The sequence below is a fragment of the Homo sapiens genome, chromosome 2 (genome assembly GCF_000001405.40).
Source record: "Homo sapiens chromosome 2, GRCh38.p14 Primary Assembly".
Lineage (NCBI taxonomy): Eukaryota > Metazoa > Chordata > Mammalia > Primates > Hominidae > Homo > Homo sapiens.
In genome coordinates this window covers 105,447,564-105,457,554 of record NC_000002.12, presented here as the reverse complement: position 1 = coordinate 105,457,554, position 9,991 = coordinate 105,447,564, and the positions used below count along the sequence as shown (strand labels likewise).

At 43.5% G+C, this 9,991-nt stretch overlaps 1 long non-coding RNA gene across 1 annotated transcript; it reads left to right on the top strand.

The window, feature by feature from the left end:
* Positions 1-2,863: 2,863 nt before the first annotated feature.
* On the top strand, positions 2,864-7,228 carry LOC105373529 (uncharacterized). Its single transcript, XR_923141.1, has 3 exons — positions 2,864-2,992; positions 3,639-3,752; positions 7,050-7,228. It is a non-coding gene; the product is annotated as an uncharacterized LOC105373529 (long non-coding RNA).
* The last annotated feature ends 2,763 nt before the right edge of the window (positions 7,229-9,991 follow it).

Here is a 9,991-nt window from a genome sequence, read left to right as displayed (position 1 = left end):
AGGCTTTCTTCTGCCCAGGCCCCAAACCAGGAAACTATATTTTACTAAGGGTAAATAAAATTTTATCATTTCCAAAATTCAAGTGTAGCCTCCACACCAGGCACCCAACATGATTAAAGAGCCTGCTGAATTTGACAAAATGTGTTCTGTTCCCTTTGGTTCAAAAGTGTGTGCATGTGAAACTCCCAAACAAGTTTATAACCACTAGATATATATATATATATATATATGTACATATATTAAATGATAAATATATTCTATAATTGCATTATATATCTCTATATCACCAACTTAATGCTTCCATTCAAGTTCTGATGCAAAGGTGTGTGAGTGGTCATTCAATCTGCATACAAGCACAATCAATAAAAGGTTTTATATTTAAATCAGGACATGCTCAACCTGGCATCACCAGAAGCCTTCTCACATGGCACCTCTAGACCCCATTGCCTTCCCACTCAGAGGTTCCCTGTCCACCATCCTCTCCTCCACCCAAATGCCATCCTTGGACTTTTATAGCTAATTACTTCAGTATGTTAACTAAATTGGTCTCCAAGCTCTTAATGAAGTTGCAAAAGCTCATTTGCAATATGACTACTGTCCTCTTAAAACTGATAAATACCACCATTACTTTCCCTCCAACTAGGCTGGGCTTGCAGCAGAATGGAAGTGGTATACGTGTGTTGCTTTAATGGGAAACACTCCTTTAGACCTTGAATGCTCAGAAGCTCAATGCTTTGTCTTCCTAATGATTTCAAAATCCTGCTAAACATGTTACAATTGCCCAGGACCCATGCATCTCAGACATCAAATTAACTATCTTCATGTATAGATATGAAGATCTTGTCAAAATAGTTGACCCTATTTTCACCTTTCATGGTGTCACTGAAGAACATAAAAAGCATAATTATCAAAGGAAAGATGTATTATCACAGACGAAGACCTTGAGAAAATCTCTAAAGGATTCTGTTGAGTCTGAGGCTCTCTTGATGTGCATTTTCTCCAAATGGGTGGGTGTCACTGTGAGCTCAAAAACCTGAAACCAACCTTTTCCATTACTTAATAATTCAGATCACCATCTGGTTTATTCCCCCACAATTTATCTCTGCACTACACATGATAGAGTGTCTTCAGTTCAGCCCAGTCAGAAGATTCTGGGGATGCTCCAGGAATATACTTTCCTACCATGATCACTTGGCTGCTAGGTTTGATCCTGGTCAATATGCTCCCTTTTGTGTGTGCCAACAACACACTTAGGAAAGGGTTCACACCTAATTCACATCCCTAGGTACTCTGCAAGTAGACACACGCACACACGCATGCACTCATGCACACAGACATGCACATAGAGGCACACGGGACTTTCTTTATTCCCACATATCCCTGAATCCAACAAGCTTTCCACTCTCATCCCAAAACCAACTGTAAAATCCCAAGCCCCAATGTGCTGATATTAGGAGGTGTGTTTTGGGGAGGTGAAGCTTGTCGGATTCCCTGAATCCGACAAGCTTTCCACTCCAGGACCCAAAACCAACTTTAAAGCACAGCTTTTACCACAGTTACTCCAGACTTAAGCAAGAGGAATTTCAGTGTGTGACTAGGGACCCAGGACTATTCCCAGGTGGCTTTGACTTGGTAACCTCAGAAGGATGCTTGTCCTGTAACCAGCTGTCTTTTGTGGTATGGCCAACAGCCAGGTCTCTGCTCTCTGATGCAATCAGTAGAAAAGACAGGAGAGGCAAAGGCTGGAGGGGATGGTATTTGTTCACTGACTCAAAGGCAAATCATTCACGTTAATGCTTCTTTATTGGCATTTGTTTCCTGAACGCGTTGATTACTGGCTTTCCTGCCTCTCATGTTGTGTGTCCATGGCACTGCCCTAAACACAAACACCCTAGCTAGAAACTGGAAGAAATGAAAATATAGGAAGAGAATGACTGATCCTGATGATTGCTATCTGAGGGTAGGAGAATGCAAGTGGAGGTTTACAATTTAAAAAGGAAGTAAACAACAAAACAGGAAATTCTGACACAAAGTACAGGAATAGCCAATTAAGATAAACATTTTTTAATAAAAATTTCTTTTGTCCAACCCCTAATCCTCAGTGTTGCTGGAGATCCAATGGCACATAGTTCCGGGGTTGTTGATCTTGGATTCAGTTTTCTTTAAAAGGCTTGCCTGCCTGCTGCCTGACTTCTTTCAGTCCCAGCCTAATGTCATTCGGGTTATAGGTTATTGGCTGTTGGCACTTGAAGCATCTGTGTTGTGTGTGTAAATCAGTGACTATAGTTAGAGGAAGAAGTTCAAAGTCTGGAACTAATGACTCATGTTGCTGGGAGCCATTTGACCCAACTCTCTGCTGCGCCCCAAACCCTAGTTTTACTTGGCCAGAGTTCTCATGAGTACTCAGTGAGAAACTGGAATTAGAAATCAGTTCTCCTCTTTGAAATGCAAGCCTGATGGCAGTACAATGATGGAAAGAGACAGCATTATCCAAGCACAAAACCAAGGCTTGCCCTCTGGTTATTAAAATGTTGAAATACTTCCTTATTCCTTGGTAATAGCAGCCTCACAAGCTCCCCCAGGCGGCCCCACTATGGCATGAAGATGCCTAAGTCACCCCACACTCTACTGGACTGCTGCCTGTTCCAGCAACCTGATGGTTACCCCGGTACCTGCACAGCAGGAGGCCTCTGTGCCCACCTCCATTCCGATTGGCCAGCATCCCATCAGTAAAATTCTTTGAATGTTATCCCTGCACCAATCATCACTCGTTTTCTCTTTGGGAAGTTCTGGTTGCCACAATTTTAAGAAGACTCAGTGGGACTGAAGTTAGGTAACTAAGATGTTGCCACGGAAAGTCAGAATACAGTTGAGAATTTTTTGTCAAGAGACACAAAAGCCTGGAGAAGGCGATGGTTGAATAGGATGTTCCAGGTGAACCAGGGCTCAAGCTCAAACCCGAAGAGCACCTCTTACCAAAAGTATAAAACAGGTGTGCTTAGATAAATGCAAGAAAGTACTACTTTGTACAGCCTGTTATAAACTTAGGAACACTGCATAATATCCAAGATTGTTGAAGATGTAAACAGGTTCAAAATGCATAATCAGTTTTTAAAACGTGAGCATCTGTTAGCTTGAATGTGCTCACTGTAATCTCGCCTCCTGGGTTCAAGCAATTCACCTGCCTTGGCCTCCTGAGTAGCTGGGATTACAGGCATGCGCCACCACGCTCGGCTAATTTTTTGTATTTTTAGTAGAGACAGGGTTTCACCATGTTGGCCAGGATGGTCTCGAACTCCTGACCTCAGGTGATCCACTCGCCTCAGCCTCCCAAAGTGCTGGGATTACAGGCGTGAGCCACTATGCCTGGCCGAATGTGCATTCTAAAGGGGCAAGTGGAATCTCTGCTGTAGGATTATAACTGTTTGAGGCTGCCGCCAAGGATGGTTATACCTCCAATTATTATCTTGGTGCTTCTATTAAAACAGAATTTTGAACTGAGAGTGATGTGTCCACTTGGACATCAGACACTTTTGTCACTGCTGTCATTGTTGACATGGTGGGGTTCAGAAGAGGATGTGGAAATTCTTCACAAATGGATGGGGGAGGAACCTGAGAACCTTCCTATTTCTTGCCAGGGAAGTCTCAGAAGTTTCTAATGGAGCATCCCCTGACTCCCACCATACTGCTACCCATGGAGAGAATTTACGGTTTGGGATTGCTGGTGCAACGTACAGCGGCTGCACAACAAGGTGGGTGAGAAGAGATTAGACAGAATCCTGGAGGTAAAATTTTAGTTCCAGCTGAGTCCTCGAATCTTTGTGGAAATTTATTATTTGATTGAACATAACTTACCTTTTTTCTGACTAAAAATGATACATATTTGCTGGGTGAAGTGGCTCATGCCTGTAATCCCAGCACTTTGAGAGGCTGAGGTGGAATAATTGCTTGAGCCCATGAGTTTGAGACCAACCTGGGCAACATAGCAAGACCCCGTCTCTACGAAAAAATTAAAAATTAGTTGGGTGTGGTGGCATATGCCTGTGGTTCCAGTTACTCAGGAGGCTGAGACAGAAGGATAGCTTGAGCCCAGGAGTTTGAGGCTACAGTGAGCTGTGATCATGCCACTACACTCCAGCCTGAATGACAAAGCAAGACCCTTTCCCCACCAAGAAAAAAGAAAAAAAAAAGAAAAAGAAAAAAAGAAATATGTTTATTATCAAACATAGTAATCCAGAAAAGTATAAAGCATAAAATAAAGACCCAATTTCCCACTACCCACACATGACCCACTGGATCTAATGTCAACATAGTACTAAATGTATTTCTGGACAGCTTTCTCCATAATATGCATATACACACAAGTAACATGCCATTTACAGCAGTCGAATCATACTATACATGACACTTATGTTTTTTTTTTGGGGGGTGGGGGGGAACAAGTTTCGCTCTCGTTGCCCGGGACGGAGTGCAATGGAGCAATCTCAGCTCACTGCAACCTCTGCCTCCTGAGTTCAAGTGATTCTCATGCCTCAGCCTCCCAAGTAGCTGGGATTACAGGCCTGTGCCACCACGCTCGATTAATTTTTGTATTATTAGTAGAGACAAGGTTTCACCATGTTGGCCAGGCTGGTCTCAAACTCCTGACCTCAGGTGATCCACCTGCTTCGGCCTCACAAAATGCTGGGATTACAGGCTTCAGTCACCACACCCAGCCTATAATATGCTTTTTAAACTCACTGTATAATAAGTCAATAAATACAGCGCTATTTCATCTTTTTTTTTTTTTTTTTGGAGTCAGGGTCTTACTCTGTTGCCCAGGCTAGAGTGCTGTGGTGCTGTCACGGCTCACTGCAGCCTCAACCTCCTGGGTTCAAGAGATCCTCCCACTTCAGCTTCCTGAATACCTGAGACCATAGGCACATACCACCATGACAGGCTAATTTAAAACTATATATATTTTTGTAGAGATAGGGGTCTCACTATGTTGCCCAAGCTGGTCTTGAACTCCTGGGCTTAAGCAATCATCCTGCCTTGGCCTCCCCTTACCATTACTTATAAAAATGGCAAAAACTGCAGTTACTTTTGCACCAACCTAATAAAACTCTGTAGGAAAGCACTTTGTTTCCATTTTTTCTACTATATGTTCATGATGAAAATTCTTGCATCCTATCAAACATATTCTTAGACCAGAGTTCTAGATATGGAATTTCTACATCAAATGGCATGCTTATTTTAAATTTTAACAAACATTGTTAAACTGCTCTTAGAGACCTCTAGATTTGTGTGCATATATATGTATATATATATACACACATATATGTATATACACACATATATAAATATGTATATGGAGAAAAAGAGAGCAAGGGAAAAAGGATAGATCTATTTACCTACGTATACAAAAAACGACAGAGAGACTTATAAGGAATTGACTCATGCAGTTATGAAGGCTGCTAAGTTTAAAATCTGCATAGCTGATGTCTAGTTCTAGTTCAAAAACCAACAGTCTGCTGTACAGCCAAGAAGACCCAATGATTCATGGCTGATGAAGACCACCAGGGAGAAGGATTCTCTCCTACTTGGGGTAAGGCCAGCCTTTTGTTCTTTTCACGCCTTCAACTATTTGGACGAGGCCCACCCATGGAAGGCATTCTTCTTTACTCTGTCCACTGATTCAAATACTAATCTCATCCAAAATCTCCCTCACAGAAGCACCCACAGTACTGTTTGACCAAATGTCTGGATGCCTTATGCCCTAGTTAAGTTGACACAAAATTAACTATCACACTTGCCCTCCAGAAATCTGACCTTATACTCACACCAGCAGTACACCAGAGTTGCTGTTTGCCTCCAGCGGCACCTGCATTGGCCTCTGCCAATTTCTAATTTTTACCAGTGTGGTAGGAAAAAGTGGTATCTTGATATTGCTGGGGTTTTTTCACTTTGCACATTTTTTTTTTTTTTTTTTTGAGACTTTCTCCTCTGTGGCCCAGGCTAGAGTGCAGTGACACAATCATGGCTCTCTGCAGCTTTTACCTCCTGGGCTCCAGCAATCCTCCCACCTCAGCCTTTCCAGTAGCTGGGACCTCAGGAGTCCACCACCACTCCTGGATAATTTTTGTATTTTTTGTAGAAATGGGATTTCACCATGTTGCCCAGGCTGGTCTCAAACTTCTGAGCTCAAGTGATCTGCCCACCTTGGCATCCCAAAGTGCTGGGATTACAGGTGTGAGCTACCGTGCTTGGCCTGCACTTCTTTATAACTAGTGAGGTTAGGCACATTTTTCATAAGGTCAATGGCGTCTTTTGTTGTTGCTTGGTAAATTAACAGCTTTATGTACTTGACCAAATTTTCTATTGGATTGATTACTTTTGTTATATTAATGTATAAAAACTTTGTATTAGTAATATTAATACTTCATCATATATATTATAATATTTTCTCCAGTTTGTGTTTGCTTTTTAACCCTTGTGTGTTATGTGTTATGTTATGCCATTTACTGTTCAGGTAGTCCAATTCAATGTCTTCCTGCATAGTTGCTATTATCGATGCCTTCCCTTATCTAAGGCTTCTGAAAATATTCCGTTGGGTAAGTTTCAGCATCTGACAATTAGGGGGACATCCAGCTTCCAAGTTCAAAAATCCTATGTGTTCTGCTTGTTAACACTCACCCTACTCTTTGCCTACAGAGCCAGTTTCTACCCCCTTTCCTAAATTCTCTTTATAGTGCCAAGATGATCAAAACCAACCCATCCCTCCCACTGTAGTTATAGAAGCTCTCCATCAGCACTGGGCCAGCCCGGTGCCAGGGGTTGGGTTACCAGTTAGGTGCCAGGAGTAACTTCGACATGATCACAGAAGATACACATCAGTTAACACAGCAGCAGCTGTGTGGCTGTGCTTCCAAGACACCTGGGTCCACATGTCTTCAACGGTGCCCACGTACTGAGCGCAAGCTAATGCCAGTGACTGCAGTCTGCAAAGTTAACCCCTCGTGGGACTTTAAAGCTCAGAGTGATTTTTGTTTGTTTGTTTTGTTTCTTAGGAATTTCTTCTACAGGAGACAAGAGTTTTCAAACTGTACCAGACTCAAACTTTTAACTCTAATTACACAAAGCTGAAGAGTGGCTAAAGACAAAACAGGGACTAATTGAAAGTAAATTCGGGGGCCAGATGCGGTGGTTCACGCCTGTAATCCCAGCACTTTGGGATGCCGAGGCAGGAGGATCACCTGAGGTCAGGAACTCGAGACCAGCCTGACTGACATGGTGAAAACCCCTCTCTACTAAATACAAAGGATTAGCCAGGCATGGTGGCGCATGCCTGTAATCCCAGCTACTTGGGAGGCTGAGGCAGGAGAATCACTTGAACCCAGGAGGCGGAGGTTACAGTGAGGTAAGATTGCGCCACTGCACTCCAGCCTGGGCAACAAGAGCAAAACTCCGTCTAAGAAAAAAAAAATTCAATTAGGGGATCAAGAATGAATCATTAAACATGGATTTTATTTGGACATCTCTTCTTAATATGGCAGATGCATTGGGTTTTTAAGGTAATAAGAAGCCATTACATTAAGGTAGTGTGAAATGAATACGCAAGGTTGTGTGCACTAGCACCTGTCACTTAAGTGGTAGTCTGTAGGGGTTTGTTGAATGAATGTATGACTGAATGAAACTCAAAATACATTATTGTTGGATCACCTAAGGCTTAAATAATGTATCTATGGTAAACCATGATAAAGGAACAAACACAAATGATTCTGATCTCTAGTTTCTTCGTATGCCATTAAGAGAGGATTGTTGCAAATATCTTTGAGGGTAACTCTCAGAGAGGTTGGAGGTGGAGGCAGGGATTCATTAGAGCCATCTGAGCAGCTTTTCTAAGCTAAACATACCCCACTTCCTCCCACTATAATGGTGTGCGTGCATGGCCCACCTCCCCATTCTTTGGCTCACTTGGAGTTTCTATACTCTAAGTGGAACTCACTCCTTTGGTGAAATGTGTTCCACTTACAATGTGAGACATGCCCAAAAGAGCCCATCCTTTGTTTGTAAGTTTCTCCACAGGTCTTCTACCGAGCCAGCACTAGCCATAATACCAAGTGCTGCTCCACCCCTCATCAATGTCAACCTCCTTTGCTTGTTGATGACCTCACTGTGATACTGTAAAGGGCAGAGTAGCTGATAATGCACCGAGCCTCTGTGCTCAGGAAGTCTTGGGTGCTCAACATCTGTTGTATCTCTGGCTCAAGTGGGTAATAGTGCTGTAAATCAACAGGTGTTCATGAGTTCACTCTGCCTTACGTGCCTGGGGCCCTGGGTGCATGGAAGGAAGCTTTGGGCACTGGACTGGGTGCTGCAGTCCTGCCCCTCCCAACCTTGCCCTACGTGAACAGGCACTTGGGCAGGGCTCTGTTACACCCTCAGCTGCCCAGCCCATCTCTTGGCTCTCCTGCTGTTGGATACACAGTCCCATGAGCTCACTGATTTAATCCATTTTATTACTACTAACTAAATTTAAGACATTTTCTCCTCTAACACAATAGATTTTTCTTCTAATTAAATACTCATCAAAGTGATTAATTAAACGAAAGGCTAGTGTATTTATGCTCCATTTTCCATGTCTGCTTTGCTGGTACCCTTTGCAGTCCGGACTTTCCCATTTTCTAGCTGTCAAAATCCCTTCTTCCCTAATTTGGAATGTATTTAGCTAATTCCCTCTGCAAAATCCTATTCACTGATTTAGGCTGGTTAAGGAATTCCCCTTCTCAAAGCGTCGCTTTACTGATCTTAGAGGACACTGAGCTCACTTTAACATGAAAATATAAAATAGAGAGCCTCTGAGGATGGGATTATATTTCTAGTTAATTTGTTCAGAACTTCATATAAAATGACACTTTAATTTACATAAAATCTGTCAACCTCCAGAAATGGTTTAAAAGGTCTCAATAGGGCCGCACACAGTGGCTCACACCTGTAATCCCAGCACTTTGGGCGGCTGAAGCGGGTGGATCACCTCAGGTCAGGAGTTCAAGAACAGCCTGGCCAAGATGGTGAAACCCTGTCTCTACAAAAAATACAAAAAAAGGTGGCAGGTGCCTGTAATCCCACCTACTCAGGAGGCTGAGGCAGGAGAATCGTCTGAACCTGGGAGGCAGAGATCGCGCCATTGCACTCCAGCCTGGGCAACAAGAGCGAAATGCCATCTAAAAAAAAAAAGGTCTAAATAGGGAAACAGAATCTACATCAAACAATTTCAACAGAGGGAATTTATGCTAGGAACCGGGTGCGTGGATGATGGGGGTGTTGAGAGGCTGAATTGGGAGAGTGAGGAAAAGCCACTGCCAGTGGCCCGGGGTCACCCAAAGGAAGCTCAAACCATGGCAGGGGCCACAGCTGTGCCAGAGACACCAACATAGGCACAGAGAGGGGACCACCCAGCTAAGCCCCAGAAGCTGAGAAAGGAGGCTCCAGGGCAATGTGCTCTGGCAACCTGGAGCAGAGCAGGCAGGAGAAGGGCTGAGAAGTGGACCCAAGGCAAAGGCCCAAGCTAGGGTCCCAGCCTTCCTTCTCCAGGCTCCAACACAGTCCACATGATGTGGGCAGCTGAGGCTACTCCATGGCTCCCTGACAGTGAGACGTGTGCCTCTGTCCACTGGGAACCACTGCATGTCCACAGGATTGAAGAAAATAACTGTCTCAACCCCCCTTCCAGCCGCATACTCAGGCAGAGTCTTAGCCATAGTGCCTCCCACGTTGCATCTTTTAACAGCCTGGCTTATGTTCCCAAAATGGTGTTGGACAACTAAGGAAATAAAGAGAGTGACCTTTCCTGCAAACTTACATTTCTAGGCTGGGATACGCACCTGCTTCATGAAACACCCACTCTTCTGACATTTCTCCTAACTGAGTCACACAGGCTGAATTTTTCTGATGCTTAAGTTATGTCTGTGCGAAGTTATTCTGAAGGGTATTTGGTGATTTAATGAAG